Consider the following 22246-nt stretch of genomic DNA (forward strand, 5'->3'; position numbering starts at 1 on the left):
GTGATAAGCACCTAATATCTGTTCCATGAGTGAACAAGTGAATAAATGAATGAATGAATGAGTGACGAATTAGCCAGGAAGTTAAAAAAAAAAAGGGGTGGGAATGGCATAACACCCATCAAAGTACTACCTGCTGGTAAACTCCACCTGAGCAGTCAGTTGGCCTCTCTTTGCTATCTCTAGTTTCTCTAATTGCACGGAAGGAGTATTACCTTTTGCTAATTAAATTCTTTCTCCAGATAAAATTTTCTTTAAGAAATCATAGTCTACCAGAAAAATAGAGTAGAGTTTCCATGCACATTTCTTTTATTTTACTTTTTTACTTTTAACTCTAGCTCCTATAGGAGGAAGGACACATTTATTTTTAAAGTATTTGCAGAAGTAGTATAGGGAGTCATTCTGATATTTGGCCTGTTGCCATGGCTAAAGCTAAAACAAGCAGGTTCTACTGGCCCAAAGTTAATAAAGAAAGTAAGATGGTAAACACTGTTCCACCAAATGCAATGCACACAGTTGTTATAAAGGTCACTGGCTACATACTGCAGACATTCTTTTGATACCATATTCTGCACCAGTCAGGAATGTTGGCCATAATCCAATGAAAGGGGAAAATAAACAGAATTCTCTCAAAGTCAAGTGTTTCTGGGTTATATTAAAAAATTTTTAACTTTAAATGGTAAAAAAAAAAAAAAAGTAACAGTTTTAACAAAACTTTCAATTAATTTAAGTTAGCCATCTTAGAAAAGTAGAAATCTACTTGTTTTTTTTGTTTGTTTGTTTTGTTTTTTTTGAGACAGTCTTACTCTGTCACCCAGGCTGGAGTGCAGTGATGCAATCTCGGCTCACTGAAACCTTCACCTCCTGGGTTCAAGCGATTCTTGTGCCTCAGCCTCGCGAGTAGCTGGGAAGCTGGGATTACAGGTACGTGCCACCACGCTCGGCTTTTTTTGTTTTTTTGAGAAGGAGACTGGCTCTGTCGCCCAGGCTGGAGTGCAGTGGCTCGATCTCAGCTCACAGCAACCTCTGCCTCTCGGGTTCAAGCGATCCCCCTTCCTCAGCCTCTCAAGTAGCTGGGACTACAGGTGTGCGCCACCCACACCTGGCTAATTTTTGTATTTTTAGTAGAGACGGTGTTTCACCATGTTGGCCAGGCTGGTCTCAAACTCCTGGCCTCAAGTGATCCACCTGACTCAGCCTCCCAACGTGCTGGGATTACAGGCATGAGCCACTGGACCAGGTCGAAATCTACTTCTCTGGATGAAAACTGAGGCACATGGAAGGTAAATAAATTTTCAGTGTCATTCTGGGGCCCATGCTAGATCCTCTTGGCAATGCTTTAACATCTTTCTATTCTTCTTACTCTTTCCTGTTTTTGGATTTTCCCTCTGTCATGCAGTCCTCATTTGCCACAGCCATTAATTGGTTACCCTCTCTGAAGGTTGACATTTCACGTTTCCCATAACGACAGGATGAAACCACCTCATTGGATCTCAGAATGTGAAGCTCTACGTAAAAGTAAAATTACACAGACGTAATGTGTATACTAGATAATTTACTTTTCATAAGATATGAGAGATATGCATAGTTTGAACAAATCCTCAGTTTCAATGAGATTTAACTAATCCCAGAAGATTCTGATGATATGAAAATGAGATTGCACTCAAACACATTCTCGAACTGCAATTTATCCATCACAACAGCAAAGGGCCCCATGGAGGCACCAGGGAGATGATAATTTCAGTTCCATGTAACAGGTTGCACTTCCCTTCCTTTTGATTTTCAAAATAGAATAAAAAATAATGACACAACAGGGTTTTTCTCCCTTGCCATATTCCTTTGTAAAAATCCCCTTTTGGGAGGGTAAGGCAGAAGGAGCATGAGATCAAGAGATTGAGACCATCCTGGCCAACATGGTGAAACTCCGTCTCTACTAAAAATACAAAAAAATTGGCTGGGCCTGGTGGCATGCGCCTGTAGTCCCAGCTACTCAGAAGGCTGAGGCAGGAGAATTGCTTGAATCCCGGAGGCAGAGGTTGCAATGAGCCGAGATTGCACCACTACACTCCAGCCTGGTGACAGAGCAAGATTCCATCTCAAAAAAAAAAAAAAAAAAAAAAAAAAATCCCCTTGAGTGGTTATTTCATTGAATCTGAGCAAACAACTATTTTTTGTCTTTTTTTCCCCCAGGGGGTACCCAGCACTGAGAAAGCACTGTTTTGAATGTATTGTCACCACCCACTTTTCCAGGTATTTTGTTGTGGCTTCTGCAGGGCCAAAATTCTCCATTTTAGCAAGAGCCAGGGTTTATGCCTTCCCCCGTATAGACTCCTGGAAATCAGGCAGAAAAAAGTCTTCACCCACTTTATGTGTCTCTTTGTGTAACTTCATAAAGCTTCAGCCCTTGAGTCCCACTCTGATTCCAGGCACTAAAAAGCTTTTTCTAAGAGTTGAATCCTTGATATGATAAGTAAGCCTGCATGGGACCATCATGAGTAGCTCTTCCTCATCAGGCCACTGTAACATTAATGTCTATCCTATAGCCTGGTGTTTGTCAACGGGCCACTCTGAGACCAAAGGGAACCTGGTCAGGAAAAAGCCCTCTGCCTTACATTGTTGGTACCAGGGGATATCAGATGTTGTCTAAGACTTTCAAAGATACCCTGACAAATAATGGATCTGACGGCACTGTCTAAATGAGACATCAAGAAACAGGACATGGGCCGGGCATGGTGACTCATGCCTGTGATAATCCTAGCACTTTGGGAGGCCGAGGCAGGCAGATCACCTGAGGTCAGGAGTTCAAGACCAGCCTGGCCAACATGGCAAAACCCCGTCTGTACTAAAAATACAAAAATTAGCCAGGTGTGGTGGTGGGTGCTACAATCCCAGCTACTCAAAAGGATGAGACAAGGAGAATTGCTTGAACCTGGGAAGCAGGGTTGTAATGAGCCTAGATCTCACCACTGCACTCCAGCCTGGGCAACAGAGCAAGACTCCGTCTCAAAAAAACAAAAATAAAAACAAACAACAAAAAAGAAATAGAACATGAATTTGCTTGTACATGGAATCACCTGATGCACAACGGTATGGAGCTGAGGCCCACAGGGAGCAAGTATGAGGCACGAGTACTTGCACTCTAAAATGGAGAATCCTGCAGATATACCTTCTTACTACTGGAACTACTACTGTCCATTCTGAAGATGCTTTGAGCTGGTATTCCGAAGATTCAGAGAGTAATTGCTTGTCATCAATGAACTCAAGTTAAATGATGCTCGTCCTTTACCCAAAGACAGTCAGCCACATTCTTACTCAGACCATGGGACCATTTGAACTTGCTTTTGAGGTTCTAGAAATGCAAGGGGGAAAGGCAGGTAGGCTGCAGAGGGTTTAAGCAGGTAGACTCAAGGAAGACTGCCTGTGTTTACATACCACCAACTCAAGCACTTATTGCTGAGTAGCTTCTCACTCAGTGCCATCCTCTGCAGCACAATGATGATGGTAAGTGCTACTTATTGGCTGTTGTGTTGGTCAAGAAGAGAGCATGTGTAAGGCACTCAGCACAGTGCCAGGCTCTCAGTAAACACTCAATTAATATTACATATTATTAGGATCACTAATTATTATGTGGAGTCTCACTGCCCAAATCCAGAAATTGTCTCCTGACTACCCATTAAAGAAGGAAAAAGGGCTGGGTGAGGTGGCTCACACGTGTAATCCCAGCTACTTGGTAAGCTGAAGTGGTAGGACTACTTGAGGCCAGGAGTTCGAGACCAGCGTGGCCAACATAGTGAAAACCTGTCTCTATAAAAATAAAATAAAGGTTTCTAGAACCACCAAAATGATTGATTCACAAAAGGGTAAATGGTTTCCAAGCTGTTGCGTGTCTTATAGAATGAACACCTGGTCTAAAATCCTACACAATGGCACCATAGTTTTAAAACACATACACACACACACACACACACACACACCCCAAACATTTGCAGGGTACTTCAGTGCACTCACTACAAATCTGATCGTCACAAAAACTCCTGAGGAGCAGATACAATTTTTTTTACTTTATAGCTCTATGAAAAAAACACGCTGGTGGAATTTGGTCTCAAAGCCAAATTTTCTTATTCTAAAACCTCTCTTCTTTCCACCATACCATAAAAGAAAATGTGCCTTAACTGGTATATTGGTGTTCCATCTGAGTGATGTGCACATTGCATAAAGCTATCTGGATGAGAGGGATGGGTGGTGCTGAAATCTAGCCCCAGCCCTGCGTGGAAGCCTGTGCCTTTCTGGTGACATAGCTCAGAAAGGATATCTTTTTCTAAGTGCACAATGCCCACATAGGCCCTACTCAGGTAACGGCTCAGAAGTCAGGCTCTTAACCATAAGTCTATGCTCACTAGTCTGCTGTCCCTAGAAGTAGTACCAGTTGAAAATGCAAATTCAAAGGAGTATTGATAAACATACGAATAACATATAATATGCAGTGGTTTTAATTTATTAAATGGGAATGAGACTTAGAGGTATGGGAGATATTATACCTTAATCTTCTCCAGTTGACCTCCAAGACATCAAGTCTCCATGGACAGTTGCTTGTCTTTGTCAGAGACCTGTCACAGGTCTTATTTAGAAAGAAAACCAAACACTAATGGATATCTTTGGGCAGTTGCAAAATATTTAAATCTGCAAATACATTCTGCCTTAATAGCCAGATACTATTGTAAGATGTCTCAAATATAATTACAAGAAGACTTTTGGGAAATTAGAACACCTTTCCCATTTAGGACATTGTTACTGTTTACTCACCCATGTTCTCCAAGTCCTAAATAAAACACTGCTCAGTTCTTTCTTCCTCTCATTAAGTACTTATTTAATTAACTGAAATGAAATCTGGTGTTGGTCGGGTAACATCAGCCACACCATTACAAGTTAAAACCAGTTTCAACATAGAACTCAAGTCTTCCACAGCTGTCTGTACCAAGGAACATAACACCCCATCAAGCCCTAAAATTCCTTCACTGTTAACAGGAAACCAGGGTTTTTTTTGGTGGAAAGGGTGATTATTTGAATCAGTAACACTTTGGGGCAAATTTCAAGGATGCTTAATGAATATCAGGAAATGAAAATTCCTATTGATACAATCCAACAGATAATATATATGTAAATTATAACAATATACATCATGGTGACACTGTACAATACAATCGCCACTATAAAAATAGCTTCTGACTACTGATTTCAGTTACAGCATGAACTCTCCAATTTCCCCAGTCCTCATCACTGCAGACTGTCTCCTTGACGTTAGAGCTGAGTGTCAGTTTCCATTTATCACCTTGTACTCTTAAAATTAAAACTACAAGCATTGTTCATAGAAATGTACCTCTATAGCCATAAGCTGTATCTCCATCCATGGTGGAAAAACAAAAAATAAAGAGAACTACATATTTTAAAATATTTAGGAAAAGGTATCTATCTACACAATAAAGAATATTCCTAATTGTTTAAAGTTTTGAAAATTTGACTTTTACAATACAGACAATATGCCTCTTTCCTTACTCCCCTTTGAAAATAATTATGTGATTTTTTTTTAAATGCCAAGAGTTATTAAATGTCCAGATACCAATCCCTCCTTTGTTCAGCTGATGTCAGGACCAGACTTGCCCAAGAAAAGAAAAAGTCTTTCAAGAGAAATCTGGGAGATGTTTTCTACACCCTTCAGGTTTTTCCGGGACAAAAATTTGATTCTCTGTAATGCCTAGACCTCCATTTTCCCTATTAATTTCAACAAACACCGCTACAACTTTAAACTAAACATTATATTCTTATTATGTGTGTTTACATACTCATTTCCATGAAGTCATAATCTTATTGACTATACCTGGGCAGTCTGGACAAATGGCCTCCAGATATCTGTTAAGTAGGTTTTCTGCCTGTTTCTACTTTGAGTGTCCTTGAATGAAGTCTTCACAGGGTATATGGAATCTAAAGGTTCATGAAAACTCAAGGTACATGGAACTGCCTATGCGTTCTGTTTAACTCTATATGTGACATAAAAATAATGCACTATACCATTTCCAAAGAAATAAGCAATAGTCATTCTGTTTCACCTAGATTCAAAAAAACAAATGGGCTGACAACTTACCATTCCAAATAGTTATTGTAAACAACATTTTTCTTTTATTTTCCTCTTCTTCCTTTCCTCCCTCCTTCTCTCCTCCGCTCTTCCTCCCTCTTCCTTTCTTCCTTCCTTCCTTCTTTCTAATGAACCTCTGCTCCATGTGGACAAGGCTCTTTCATGTATACTATCCTTACATGGTAAATGCTATTACCGAGCTGATGGCCACTTTGTAGATTTTTGATACTGCCATTGCCACGGATCCTGATTTTGTTGAGTAGATGGAGGATACTTTGCTTTTTGGATTTTTCTGATTTTTTTGAGACACAGTCTCACTCTATCTCCTGGGCTGGAGTGCAGTAGCACTTCACTGCAACCTCTGCCTCCCAGGACTCAAGCAATCCTCCCATCTCAGTCTCCCGAGTAGCTGGAACCACTGGCACGTGTCACCACACTCAGCGAATTTTTCATATTTGTTGTAGAGATGGGGTTTCGCCATGTATCCCAGGCTGGTCTTGAACTCCTGGGCTCAAGCTATTCACCCACCTTGGCCTCCCAAAGTGCTGGGATTACAGGCACGAGCCACCACACCCAGCCAGATGGTGGATACTTTGATAAGAGAAAACTACATTGAGGAACACAGAATCCTAATACCATATTAGGCCATACATAACGCAGGCCAGGTGCGGTGGCTCACTCCTATAATCCCAGTGCTTTGGAAGGCTGAGATTGGAAGATTGTTTGAGGCCAGCCATTCAAAACCAGTCTGGGCAACATAGTGAGACCCCCATCTCTACAAAAAAATTTTTTTTAGTTATCAGGATATGGTGGGGTGTACTGTAGTCCCAGCTATTCTGGAGGTTGAGGTGGGAAGAACGTTTGAGCCAAGGAATTTGAGGCTGCAATGAGCTATGATCAAGCTGAATGCACTCCAGCCTGGGTGACAGAGCAAGACCCTGTCTCTAAAATAAAAATAATAAACACAAATTTGAAAAACCTAATTAATGTTTTTTGCTTTCAGTATCTCATTTAACCCTCACAATAAACATGTGAGGTGGTAGGAGGAATCACTCCCATTTTCAGATAAAAAGCAGTCTCAAAGAAGTTAAGAACTACATTCGCATATTTAGCAGACACCACTGCTGGGTTTCCTTACATTCCAGAAAGGCCTTTAAGACAGCAAACTCCAAAAATGTTTAAACTCTTTCATTGCACATATAATTTACAATGAAAGATTAAATATAGAATTTCCCTTTATCAAATTCTTTCAACCTGCCCAAATAATTTCAAACAGAAAGAGATATTCTCTTTGACATTTATATTCTGTTTGAAGGACATTCCTAAGGCCCTTTGAAAGATGATTAACCCTAAAGAAACTGCCTACATTTACTAAGCTTTTTGAAAATACTATTGCCCACTCTGCATAACCATTATGGGCTCTCTAAGACAAAGATCTGGCTCATGAATAAGAGTGGAAAAAGAAAAGTATTTATCTAAGGACTTTATAAAATCCTGTGTTCATCTAAACTTTAATGAAATGGGTTATAGGCACATCAGAAATAAAAATCTGCAAGTGACTTTTATAAGCATATATGTCAGCTGGGCATGGTAGCTCACGCCTGTAATTCCAATACTTTGGGACATTGAGGCAGGAGGATCACTTAAGCACAAGAGTTGGAGACTAGCCTGGGCAACATAGTGAGACCCATCTCTACTAAAAATCACAAAAAATTAGCCGGGCATCATGTATGTGTCTGTACTCCCAGCTACCTGTGGACTGAGGCAGGAGAATCACTTGAGCCCAGGAGTTCAAGGCTGCAGTGAGCTATAATTGCACCACTGCACTCCAGCCCAGATGACAGAGCAAAACCCTGTCTTAAATAAGTAAATAAAAATAAAAGTGTACATGTCAAAGTTTAGTACAGTTATTGCACAGTGAATAGCAAGACCTACTGTGGCGTACAATAACATCCAATTGAGCACAGTCCCTGTGACAAACTGAAATGACAACAACAACAAGAGATAAGAGCTGTCTTTTGCTAGACAACCAGAGTGTTTACTGGCACTAAGAAAGCGGGGATGGATCACAGCTCATTATACATATTTCTAGCAAGGATACAACCTAACCTACTTATGTTGTAAAAAAGTTACCGAGTGCTTTTCTGGGCAAACACACCCTGAAACTGGAATGATACTGACAAGATTATCAGGCTTCTGAAAAATAATGATCCACAAATTTATGAGTCATTTACAAAAAGAAAGCTACATGATACCTCCCTAGAATATACCATGAAGCTGAGGTTGTCAGGAAGGAAAATTGGGTTTTATTAGGGAGAGAGTGAGGGGGAAGGAGAGAGTGAGGGGGAAGGAGACAGTGGGCTCAGAGGAACAGGTGAGATCAGATAAACAGATTAAAGTCAAAGGGCATCTGGACACGATGGCTCACATCTGTAATCCCAGCACTTTGGGAGGCCAAGGTGGGTGGATCACTTGAGGTCAGGAGTTTGAGACCAGCCTGGCCAACATGGTGAAACCCCATCTCTACTAAAAATACAAAAATTAGCCAGGCATGGTGGTACGTGCCTATAATCCCAGCTACTTGGAAGTTTGAGACAGGAGAATTGCTTGAACCCGGGAGGCAGAGGTGCAGTGAGCCAAGATCATGCCGCTGTACTCCACCCTGGGTGACAGAGTGAGACTGTATCTCAAAAAATAAATGAATAAATAAAATAAAGTCAAAGGGCAAATGGCATCCTCTTCCTAAGGATCAGTGGCTACACTCAAGCAGAGCCATATTTGAGAAACTAGAGGTGACCCCACTGCAAAACAGAGAACAGGAAGAAAGAGGGGTTTGCAGTTCTCATGATGAAGATTAGCCTCCTGACAGTTAAGTAGAGCAGAGTATGATCTGTAGGGTTAGCCATGCTATTCAATCAGAACTGTACAATGATTAGGCTGAGAGCTGAATTGTAGAGTGCAAAAAGGAAATGCCAACACACTGTGCTGTATCTGGACCCCACTCTTCTCTCCATTCCCCTGTGGGGAAGCAGAATTAGCAAGAGGCAACCAGTGGAGTCACTTGTCAGAACTGCATGCTCTTTATCAGCAGTCTCCAATCTTTTTGGCACCAGGGAGCAGTTTAGTGGAAGGCAATTTTTCCATGGCCAAGGGTGTGGGGGCAGCAGGGGTGGGAATGGTTTCGGGATGAAACTGTTCCACCTCTGATCATCAGGAATTAGATTCTCGTAAGGAGCCCACAATCTAGATCCCTTGCATGCGCAGTGCACAGTAGGGTTGGCGCTATTAGAATCTAATGCTGCTGCTGATCTGACAGGAGGCAGAGCTCAGGAAGTAATGCTTGCCTTCCTGAGTACTGGACTGCGCCTTGGGGTTTGGGGACCCCTGCTCTACATTACAGAGAATCCTAGTGAGGGGCCCCTGAGCGGAAGATCTGCAGGAAGAGGGACAGCCAGGGCAACATCAGTTCCTAGATTAAGGAAAGACCCTCCATTTTCTTATTCCATGCCCTGTTCCCTCTCTCCCTCCATTCTCTATCTCTCTGTCTATCTCTGCCTGAATAGCTCTCTCTCCCTGCACCCTCCCTTCTCTCTCTCTCTCTCTCTCTCTCTCTCTCACACACACATACACACACACACACTCACATTCACATCCATAGGGTCTTCCCCACAATAAGAAACTAAGAGCTGTGGTTGAAGGGATCCACATCTGGGTACCAGGATAAGAGTAAGAGACAAGCACTAACATGTTTATCATTTTGTAGTCACAGACAGTGATACATTCCTATTGTTTAAACAATACAAAGTGAACTGAACATTTTCAACTGGTTGAAAGGCTAAGAGAATTTCCTGGAAATGATATAAGATGTCTTACAATTTATAGTAATCCTGCTGCAAGCACAATACTAAATCCCTGAAAATCGCTTTGGTGGAAAATTTGGAGTTGAGGAATGTTAGACATTAGGATATCGGCTCTTAATTCTTTGATTCACAATCTAATTTAAGAAGCTGATAAAAAGTGGAGCCTCAGTTCCAGAAAAATACACCTTCACAGTTAATTCCACCAATCTTGTATATAATCTCACATTATTCAAGGACCTCCTGAAATTGCTACCAGTTTCAAGTACTGCTAAAAGAAAAAATCGATTTGGGAGCCAACGTTGTAATGATCCTATGAAAACTTTAATAATAATTTTATGTCCACAAGGAAAAATAAACCAGATATTAAACAAAGAAAATCTTCATGACATTTAACACAAATTACATTAATGAAAATCAACATGGTATGTCAAACTTGCATTTCTCCTCTCTTGTTCTCTAGAAACTATGAAAGGAAAATCTTGGGACCTCAAACTCACTATGCTGAAAGGGAGAAGTTAGGCTTGGGAACCGAGTTATGCAAAAACTGCCTTCCTTTTGTTCCCAAACAGATAGCTGTAATTTCACATGCTTACTTTATCTTATGTAAAAATGTGGATTTGCTGAGCATGAGATGAATGCATAATTGACCCCCCCTTTCTTTTCACATGTAAAATGTAGATTCATTGAGGACTAATCAGAGCCTCCTAAGAATGTAACCACTTGCTTCATTGCCTACCTCTCTCTCCCTTTTTACTCCCCTCCTTCTTGCTCTTTCCCCTTTAAATATTGAAATTCCCAAAACCATCTTTGGAAAAAGCACAGGACACAGATCCTACTGTGACTTGTGTTTCCTTTTCCCTGGTACATCCTCAACCTTGGCAAAATAAACCTCTAAATTGAGATCTGTTTTAGACACTTTTTGGCTTACAAAACTTTTTGAGAGTGACCACCCTCACAATAAGCATGAATATTTGTCTTCTTTGTTGAACATTCATACAAACAAGTCTTTCCTTGTCTAGTCTTCCAGTCAAATGTCCAATGCCCTCTTAATTTTATATCTTGGAATGGCTCTATATTGTGGTCCCAAAGACAGCTGGACTTAGAAGCCTTAAAATGGGGAAAGACTGGAAAACTTTTTTGAGAAAATCCACATAGTTTTCACACTTCCCCCTGGCATACAGTTATATAACTATAATCCATGACAAACAATGGCCAATGACATCAAAACATGGGAGAAGGGAGAAGGTACAGCCTCACTCTACTAGCTCCCTCATTTCCACACTCAAGACTAAATTTTGTTTTGTTTTGTTTTGCTTTTTGAGATGGAGTTTCGCTCTTGCTGCCCAGGCTGGAGTGCAATGGCGCAACCTCCACCTTCTGGATTCAAGTGATTCTCGTGCCTCAGCCTCCCAAGTTGCTGGGATTACAGGCGTGTGCCACCATGCCAACTGTGTATTATTAATAGAGACGGAGTATCTCCAAGTTGGTCAGGCTGGTCTCAAACTCCTGACCTCAGGTGATCTGCCCACCTCCCAAAGTGCTGGGATTACAGGCTGAGCCACCGCACCTGGCTCAAAACTGAATTTTTAAGACTGGAACTCACTTTGCCCAAGTTTCCTTTAGCTTTCTAAAGGATGCACTGTAAGATCATCTTCCTCCCTCCTTTTGTAAAAATAATATCCCATTTTAATCCTTTTCTTTTTCTAAACTCAATCAAAAATGAGTACAAATCCAAGCTCTGCCTATGCTACCAGGGTTTCCTCAGGTAAATACTTCTCTGAGAACTCAGTTTCCTCATATATAAAGGGGAATAATATCTAACCTACAAGGTTATTATGACAATCAATTAAAGAATGAAAAAGTTCTCAGCAGGATGCCTGAATCACAGATTTTCGGCAAATTTTAGCTCTTCTGTCTATATATTGTCTATGCTAATTATAAAATGAATTTTTAAAAATTCATTTGTACATATTACCAAAATGTAGAATTTTCCTTATTAAGAGGCATTAAAGCTGGGCACAGCGGTACATGCCTATAGTCCCAGCTACTAGGGAAGCTGAAGTGGGAGGATCGCTTGGGGCCAGGAGTTCAAGACCAGCCTAGGCAATAACAAGACCCTATCATATTGAAAAAAAAAATTTTTTTTAAACAGAAGCATTAAAAGTAATCTAGAAGAAACAGAATTAGATAAACAAGAGTTCCCTTTTGTTTGTTCAGTGTAAACAGAGACCAAATCCTTAATGTTCTGCTTGATCTTCACTCTAGCAAGTATCTGTCCAGCATGCCTTAGAATAATGGAGCTGAAAAGGTAGGAGTGGAGGTACAGTTATGGGTGTGCATTTCTGACATCACCTCATGGAACTTCATCTAGCTTTGTGCTCCTTGCACCCAGATATAAAGTAAAAGAGTTGATTTTAGGCCCCTGATTAATAATCTCTAGACCCCTGAACTTCAGTCCAGAGGCTGAGTCATACAACAGGCCTCTTCCAAATGAATAGCTGTTCCTAACACTATGTATTAGCCAAGTTCCCATGGAAAGGTAAAAGGCCTCAGGCATCTGCTGAAGGACTGCTCTAAAAGATCTTTAATAAGTAAATTCTTTTCTGGATTTCCAAAAACAGGGACAGACAATTTTAACTTGAGGTCAACAATCTAAGTCTAGCTCCTAAAACTAAAGTGTTTTCCACACCAGTAATACCCAATTACAATCTCATCTTCCTGGGTGCAGGAGAAAGACAAGGTTCATTTCCTCCACCTACCCAGAGAGGGTCTACATAATGAACTCCCCCTTTACTCGCTCTTTCTCTTCAAACATTCACCTTATCTTATGTAAAATGCAGGTTCACTAGGCACTAATTAAAGTGTCCCAGGAATGTAACCATTGCCTTACATCATACCTTCCCCTTTTCCCACATGCCTTCCCCTGCTTTAAGGAAATGTAAACATATTAAACCTCTGGAAAACCTCTTTGGAAAAACAGCCACAGATGTGTCTGTGCTAGTGTTTTTCCCAGACATGCCCTAAAGCTGGCTTAATAAATAGAGAGGAGTGAGACTTATACCTCAATCACTCATTTTGGCTGTCAATTTCATCCAAATGAAAGTTCCTAACTTAGATCTCCAGTGGAGAGTTAGAAGGAAAATCTTAATGGATTTCCTGAGTGGATCTCACAACTAGAAAATCTAGCAATCTAATGTTCCCTGAAAGAATATGTAAATAACCTATAAACCAAAAATAAAATTCTAAGCCCTCCAACCAACTGAATGGACCTCTCCTCTCAGCCAAGGGACTTCAAAAGTAAACTGAAAAACTAGTTCAGGCCATGGTAGGAAGAATAGAGCAGGGTGGGGTGGTGAGGGCTGTCAGTCATACCTCATTATAATCTCCTCCCTTTGGAATTCCAGAAAAACTGACCAGTATTAACATTAAAACAGAGATCTGAAGACTTACAAAACAGATTCTTTGTAGGAAGAAGATACCAAACTCCAACGTGACTCTAGTATAGCATTACATGAGAAATAGCAGGCCCTAAAGAAAGAAATTGAAGTATTTTACCCCAAAATATTTCTTTGACATATTTAAAGTGGCCCTGCAAAGCTATCTCTTGTGGGGGAAATCTACATTTTGCAGAGAATCCCTTTCCCTTTCCAAATCTCCTCCAGATCCAGAAGAGATTTAATTAAGAATCTAGCACCTTTTAAGATCTGATCAGAGACATTTATCAGGCCAGGTGTGGTGCCTCACGCCTGTAATCCCAGCAATTTGGGAGGCTGAGACAGGCGGATTGCTTGAGCTCAGGAATTCAAGACCAGACTGGGCAATGTGGTGAAACCCTGTCTGTACAAAAAAATACAAAAATTAGCTAGGTGTAGTGGCATGTGCCTGTAGTCCCAGCTACTTGAGAGGCTGAGGTGGGAGTATGGCTTGAGTCCAGGAGGCAGAGGATGCAGTGAGCAGAGATCATGCCAATGCACTCTAGCCTAGGCGGCAGAGCCAGACCCTGTCCAGATAAAAACAAAAACAAAACAGAGACATTTACCATCTTTCTCGCTAAAGCCTGCTATCTGGAGGCTTCATCTACATAATAAAAATCTTGATCTCCACAACCCCTTATCTTAACCCAGAAACTCCTTTCTATTGATTCCAAGTCTTTAGACAATAACTTAACTCTTCCAATCAATTGCCAATCAGAAAATCTTTGAATCCACATATGACCTGGAAGCCCCCTCCCTTTTGAGTTGTCCTACCTTTCCAGACCAAACCAATGTACACCTTACATGGGTTGGTTCACGTCTGCCTGTAACTTGTGCCCCTAAAATGTACAAAATCAAGCTATAACTCAATGACCCCGGGCACATGTTCTCAGGTCCTCCAGAGGCTGTGTCATGGGTCATGGTCCTTACATTTGGCTCAATAAATCTCCTTAAATATTTTACAGAGTTTGGATTTTTTCATCAACAAAGCTAACAGCAAAACTGTGACATGCCATTTGAAATCAACTAGAAGCCAGTGGCAATTGCAGAACACCTTAAAAAATGACTCGCCGGGCACAGTGGCTCACACCTGTAATCCCAGCACTTTGGGAGGCTGAGGCAGGTGGATTATGAGGTCAGGAGTTTGAGACCAGCCTGGCCAATATGGTGAAACCCCGTCTCTACTAAAAATACAAAAATTAGCTGGGCATGGTGGCGGGCATCTGTAGTCCCAGTTACTCAGGAGGCTGAGGCAGGCTAATTGCTTGAACCTGGGAGGTGGAGGTTGCAGTGAGCCGAGATTGCACCACTGCATTCCAGCCTGGGCAACAGAGTGAGACTCTGTCTCAAAAAAAAAAAAAAAAAAAAAAAAAGACTGACTCATCCACTGGGCTTTTTAGAATGCACATCTGACAAGAAAAGAAAACAAAGAAAAGCAGAAGGTGGGTTATTGACTTCTTCACAGTTCTCTAGTTTCACTAGTAGAGGATGTTTTCAAATTACAAATTTCTAGTAACTATACATACACACACTCCCCACAAACCCCCAAAGAGAAAAGGTGACCCCTCCTCCTGTCTTTCCCACTCCAGTCCTCTCCCTGGTGATTCCAGTTTGCCATTCTCAGAGAGGACTATTTGTGCAAGAAGGAAACAGAAGAGAAAAGAGAGAAGAAAGAAGGTGCAGGGGCAGGGGAGAGAGGAGGAGCAGGAGGAGGAGGAGGAGGAGGAGAAAGAGAAAGAAAGAAACTACCTTTTACTGGTAGAGCTTTCAAAATGTACATACAGTATCAGGAAGGGAGGAAAAGGAAGGGAAGGAAGGAGAGAGAAAGGAAGGGATGGAGGGAGGGAGGAAGGAGGAAAGGAAGGAGGGAAGGACAGATGGAAGGAGTTACGTAGAAACAATTTAAGGTTGCTGATCAAAAATTATCTTCTCCAAAAAGCCTGAGTATTTGACTTAATGTTGTCAAACTGCCTAAATATCAGACAGATATCCATTTGCTTTAACAGCATCCTTCAGAAAATGTAATGTCTCTGTAAACTGCAGAACTCTTCCATTACTCACACATTGCTGTGAATTAGAGCCAGTTGCCTCCTAATACCTACATGAGATCATCACCAAGGGAGGACAATGATGGGACAATCATCTATGAATGGTTCTTTATGTTTCCTGTATTTTACATGACTTATCTCAGATTCTTCATAACGGGTGCTAAAACGTTATTAAGCCACATTTTAAATAAGGGAATTAAGCTCAGAGAGGAAGAGAAACTTTGCAAATCACATGTCCAACAGGTGGAGCTGTGATTTGAATCCAGCTGTCTGCTTACTAAGTGAAGGACTAAAGAGTAGAAGTCAGTGAGGGAGGCAGAGAACACAAAGACGCTGTGCAAAGAGCCACCCTCAGGGCTTTTGTCTGTGGCATTCCCTGCACACTGCTGTGCCATGAAGCAGGCATGGGCTTCCACCTCCAAGACTCAGAACTCAAGGTGGTACCTACCACAGCTGTTGGCATTGTAAGCTGCCTAGGTCCACATAATTACAAATCCTGTTCTGTACATAACTACAAAACAGGCTTTTGTGGTCAGGCCTGGGAACCATATCACAATTCACAATCTGACTCTTCATAAAGTGGGTCCTCTCTGTGCATGAGGAAGGCAAAGCAGAAAGGATATGCAGTGTCCCTAGAGCAGCAGGTCTGCCTCAACCTTTCAAATTCCTCAAATTTCTAGGACGCTTGGAGTAAATTTTTTCTTGCCTAGTTTTTGTGGCCAGTTTACAAACACCCAGAAGTTGTTAAATGTCATGTCAAATCCTGCACAAATTATAAGCATTCATTCCCACGGTTTCTTTGTAGAATAAATCAGTCTCAAGAGAAATTGGTATGGACAATGGAATTCTGTGAACAAAATTATCTTAAAGTTGATAATAATAATGGGATGGAGGTGGGGGGGATTCATGGGACAAGCAAGCAAAATCTGCTTTTGTCTGGTCATGTTTCCTGTCAGCAGCATTTTCCTATTAATAATATGTATTATGAGCCAACTCCACACACAGCTATAGACTACTGCCCACCCCAACACATAGAAGTCACCAATATAAACCAAAAATAAAATTCTGACCCCCCAACTGACTGAATGGACCCTTTCTCTCAGCCAAGGGAACTTCAAAGAAACCAAAAAACTAGTTCAGGCCATGATGGGAAGGTGGGTTTTCAGACATGCTTCATTATACCCTTCTCCCTTTCAAATTCAGGCACAACTGACCAGCATTAACATTAAAACAGAGATCAGGTCACTTTTCTGATCCTAAAGAGATTAGCTAGGTGTCTAGCACCTTTTAAAGGTCTGAGTAGAAAACACTTGCCATCTATTCCCACTAAGGGCATCCACCTGTGAGACCTCATCTACGTAAGAGCCTTGGGGCCCTGGCTGTGGCTCACACCTGTAATCCCAGCAATTTAGGAGACCAAGGTGGGTGGATCACCTGAGGTCAGGAGTTTGAGACCAGCTTGACTAACATAGTGAAACCCCGTCCCTACTAAAAATACAAAATTAGCTGGGTGTGGTGGCACACACCTGTAGTCCCAGCTACTTCAAAGGCTGAGACAGGAGAATCGCTTGAACCTGGGAGATAGAGATTGCAGTAAGCCGAAATCTTGCCACTGCACTCCAGCCTGGGTGACAGAGCAAGAGTGTTTAAAAAAAAAAAAAAAAAAAAAAAAAGAATCTCAGTCTTCACAACCCCTTACCTTTACCCAGTCACTCCTTTCTATTCACAACTCCTATCTTAACCCAGTCACTCTTTTCTATTGATTCCAGATCTATAGATAATAACTCTTTAAACCAATTGCCCATCAGAAAATCTTTCAATCCACCTGTTACCTGGAAGCCCCACCTCTTTGAGTAGTCCTGTCTGCCCAGACAAAACCAATTACACCTTACATATACTGATGTCTTATGTCCATCCCCCTAAAAAGTATAAATCCAAACTATAACCCAGCCACCTTGGACACCTTGGACATGTTCTCAGGACCTCTTGAGAATGTGCCTTGGACCACAGTCACTCATATTAGGCTCAGAATAGACTTCTTTAAATATTTTACAGAGTTTGATTCTTTTCATTGACACCAATTATAACATTAAGTTCCATTAGGAGCTAACATAAATTTTAACTGCTTTTGTATTACAGTTGACCTTTAAACAACATGGGTTTGAACTGCCTGGATCTACTCACACAGGGATTTTCTTCAGCCTCTGTCACCTGAGACAGCAATACCAATCCCTCCAACTCCTCTTCCTCAGCCTACTCAACTTTGTGAAGACGATGAGGACAAAAACCTTTATGATGAACCACTTCCATTTAATGAACAGTAAATATACTTTCTTTTCCTTAGGATTTTCTTAATAACACTTGCTTTTCTAGCTTGCTTTATAATAAGACTGCAGTATATAATACATATAACAAAAAATATGTGTAATCAACTGTTAATGTTATCAGTAAGGCTTCTGGTCAACAGTAGGTTATTAGGAGTTAAGTTTTGGGGGAGTCAAAAATTATACAGATTTTTGACTGCATGGGGGATTGGCATCCCTAACCCCCTGTGTATTTATAAATAAATACACAAGCACTACTAGTTGCAACTTTACTAATACAGTACTTACAAGCTGGCAAGATGAAAGCATTTATCCTAAAAACATACACCTCCTAACCAGTCAGGGCTTCATGAATATCACTTTGTTATTTCTCATACATTTCTGGGAATTATTTGGTTGTTTGATTATAAAATGGAAAGTCTCCCTAGTTGTGGAGGTCTCCACTGAATGCACTATGTCAAATTCCTGGACAGTCCAATGCTCTAACTCAGATGGAACAATTTGATATGGACTTAATTAGTCTGCACTCTTACCATCTCCATGCCTATGTTCTCAAATCTCCCGAATTTGTTCACCCATGTTTCATCTCAAGGTTAATAATGTGACCCAACAAAAACTGGCTTTTTCTTTTAAATCTTTGTAAAGTTCAGCGCCCTAAACATAGTTGATACACAAACACATTTCTGAGAGAACAGCTTACTGAAGGAATCACACATTTGATTTTGTATAACGAGAAACTGTCTCCATCTCTTGAGATATTTTAACTTGAAGCCCCTACGTTCTAATTCACCTGAGATCCATTAAACTCCTAAAATTGCATGCAATTTTTTGGAGTGCTTTCATTTTTCTCAAGGTAGAGTCCATAGCTTTTATTAGATTTTCAAATGGGGGGTGGTTATAAGAGGAAAATAAGATTAATATACACCATTATAATTAATCTATTAGTCCATTTTCATGCTACTGATAAAGACATATCTGAGAGGGGGCAATTTACAAAAGACTGTGGTTTAATTGACTCACAGTTCCACATGGCTGGGGAGGCCTCATAATCATGGTGGAAGATGAAGGAAGAGCAAAGGGACGTCTCATATGGCATCCAGCAAAGAGAGAAATAAGAGCCAAGCGAAAGGGGTTTCCCCATATAAAGCCATCAGATCTCGTGAGACTTATTCACTACCATGAAACGGTATGGGGGAAACCGCCCCCATGATTCAATTATTTCCACTGGGTCCCTCCCACTCAAGTGAAAATCATGGGAGCTACAACTCAAGATGAGATTTGAGTGGGGACACAGCCAAAGCATATCAGTCTTGTAAAGAATACTAAATAGGACGGGCGCAGTGGCTCATGCCTATAATCCTAGCACTTTGGGAGGCAGAGGCAGGAGGACTGCCTAAGCTCAGGATTTTGAGACCAGCCTGGGCAATATAGTGAGACCCCATCTCTATTAAATAAAAATAAAAAATAAATAAATAAATAAATAAATGCATATAAAGAAGAATACTAAATAGGCTGGATATGGTGGCTCATGCCTGTAATCCCAGCACTTTGGGAGGCCTAAATGGGCAGATCATCTGAGGTCAGAAGTTTGAGACTGGCCTGGCCAACGTGGTGAAAGCCCTCCTCTACTAAAAAAATACAAAAAAATTAGCCAGGCATGGTGGCATGCACCTGTAGTCCTAGCTACTTGGGAGGCTGAGGTAGGAGAATCGCTTGAACTCAGGAGGTGGAGATTGCAGTGAGCCAAGAGTGTGCCACTGCACTCCCGCCTGGATGACAGAGAGAGACTCTGTCAAAAAAAAAAAGAATAATAAATACAAAATCAAATAGGCTCACACTTATTAGGTGTGGGACCTAGGGTAAATCACTCAATCTCTTTAAGGCCTTAGTTTCCTTTTCTACATACTGAGGATAATAATAGCATCTACCTTATAATGTCAGATAAGATAATCTATACCAATATCAACTAATCAGGACAACTATACAAACTGGACAAAATATATTTCAAAATATCAAAAAATAAAAAGCAACAAGTTACCATACCTGAAAAAAAGACAGGCTCCAAGGGGGAGAGCTCTATATTTTAGAGTAACAATTATTTTGGGAGGCATGTGCCCCTTCCATAAGGGGCTGCTGAGTAAGCTGAGAGTCTGGATGTGCTTTTAACAGAATCCTGGACTGGGGGGACCAGGATAGGAGTTAGTACCACCAAAGAGGTAGGGCAGCTAATGATGCCACCCTTTCCTCTTTGGGTTGGGACGATGGAGGGCTATGACCTAATATAACTGTAAATCCTAAGTAGGCAAATCCACTCAAGTTAGAGCTCAGCTAGAAAATATATCAGTACCAAAAATTAGTGATTTTAGTTTGCAACTGGCAGAAAAAATTTTTCTCATAGAAAATAACATTATCTTCTCCTTCAGATTAGTTTCACAAACTAGAAGTACAAGGTCCAGTTCATAATCAAAAGTAGCCAGACATAAAAAATGACATCAGAGCATGAATGAAAATTAGGAGAAAAAACAGACAGCAGAACAGGCTTAAAAGAGCTCGAGATATTTAAGTTAATTGAGGCCTTACAAGAACCATACTTGCTCAAAAGAGACAAAAAATAAGATTGAGAATTGTAACAACTGAAAATTAGACAATGAACCAAACAGGAATATTTAATTTAAAAAAATAATTAAAAGTGGTTGGGCTGAACAGATTAAATATAGTTAAGGAGATAGTTATTAACTTGGAACAGAGATCAGAAAAAAGTAGCCAAAATGAAGTAAAACTTAAAAGGTAACAGACATAGAAGATACAATGAGATGTCTAACATACATGTAATTGGAGTGCCAGAAAGAGAGATGAGGGGATGAAGGAAAGGCCATATTTGGAGACAGTGGATGAGAATTTTACAAAACCAACGAAAGACATATTAAAGAACACCTACTACCCCTAAGCAGGATTTTTAAACATCACAAATTATCTAGATCATATTAAAACTGCAGAAGACCAAAGTCAAAGAGAAAACCTTAAAAGCAGTTAGAGAAAAAAGACATATTACTCACAAAAGAACAACAATTCAGAGTGACAGTTTACCTCAGAAGAAACGATGTCTCAACCATGCTTAAAACATATTAAGTGCCAACCATTCAAAACAAAAATATCCTTCAAGAAAGAAAGCATAATAAAGACATTTGGAGACAAACAAAAACTGAGAAAAGCTGTCACAAGCAGGTCCTCGCTAAAGGAAAGAGTAAATGATGTTTTTCTGGCAGTGGAAAACGGATTCCAGAAAAATGGTCAGAGAGGGAAGAAGAAAGTAAAACAAAAATGGTAAACGTGTAGAGATCCAACTGAATACAGACTTTAAAAATAGTAATAACTGCATGTCCTTGGGTTGAAAATATGTTAAGAATTAAAATATACTATTACAACACAAATGGTATGTAAATTGGGGGTGGGGAGTTAAAGTATTCCATGGTCTTTGCAATCTATGAGAAAATATTTAACATGTCAATTTAAAAAATAAAAAATAATGGCCAGGTGCAGTGACTGACACCTCTAATATCAGCAATTTGGGAGGCTGAGGTGGGAGAATCACTTGAAGCCAGGAGTTTGAGACCAGCCTGGGCAACATAGTGAGACCCTGGCTTTCCTTTAAAAAAATAAAAGGTAAAAAAAAAAAGTACTGGTTAATAATATAATTGGATGAGTCAAAAATGCATTTGTATTGTCCAGAATAACCACTAAAAGAATAATAAAATGAATATAAAACTTCTAGCTAATAGAGTCTCAAAAAGTGTAACTTAAAAAGAATTATTCCCATATCCCACCAAAAAGCAAGGAAGGCAAAATACAAAGAACACAAGGTAGCTAGAAAAAGTATAAAGCACTTAATAAAAGAGCAGATTTAAATCCAAGTCACATGGACATTAACTAAATAATACAATTAAGAGTCAAAAATTTTCAAAATTGAGTAAGAAAAAAGTCAACTGCCCAGGTATGGGGGCTCACACTTGTAATTCCAGCACTTTGAGAGGCCAAGGTAGGGGAATTGGTTTAGGCCAGGAGTTTGAGACCAGCCTGGCCAATATAGTGAGACCCCGTCTCTATTTATAAAAAACAATTAAATTACTAAACATTATAAAAAGGAAATAAATCAACTATCTGCTATTTATAAAAGACATATCTAAAACATAAGGATACAGAAGAGTTGAAAGTGAAAGTATGAAAAAGAGATACCATAAAAATACTAACCAAATAAATCTATTCTAACCATAAGAATGAGACAAAAGCAATTCTGGAAATACATGTGAACATTTCATAATGATAAAATGCTCAATTCACCAGGAATATATTACAATTATAATGCTATATTATTAGGATTGCTTTATAAATGCAAGTTCAGGTAAACACTTGAAAA

The 22246-nt window shown here is 40.2% G+C and overlaps 1 protein-coding gene and 1 long non-coding RNA gene across 2 annotated transcripts in view; one reads left to right on the top strand and one right to left on the bottom strand.

Annotated features, from left to right (window-relative positions):
* Nucleotides 1-22246, bottom strand: part of TBC1D9 (TBC1 domain family member 9) — a 135604-nt gene that overhangs the window by 106942 nt on the left and 6416 nt on the right. The window lies entirely within an intron of this gene.
* LOC124900786 (uncharacterized) lies at nucleotides 893-17716 on the top strand. The gene is made up of 3 exons (XR_007058282.1): nucleotides 893-921; nucleotides 1219-1280; nucleotides 17648-17716. It is a non-coding gene; the product is annotated as an uncharacterized LOC124900786 (long non-coding RNA).

Source organism: Homo sapiens, chromosome 4 (genome assembly GCF_000001405.40).
Source record: "Homo sapiens chromosome 4, GRCh38.p14 Primary Assembly".
NCBI classification, from domain to species: Eukaryota; Metazoa; Chordata; class Mammalia; order Primates; family Hominidae; genus Homo; species Homo sapiens.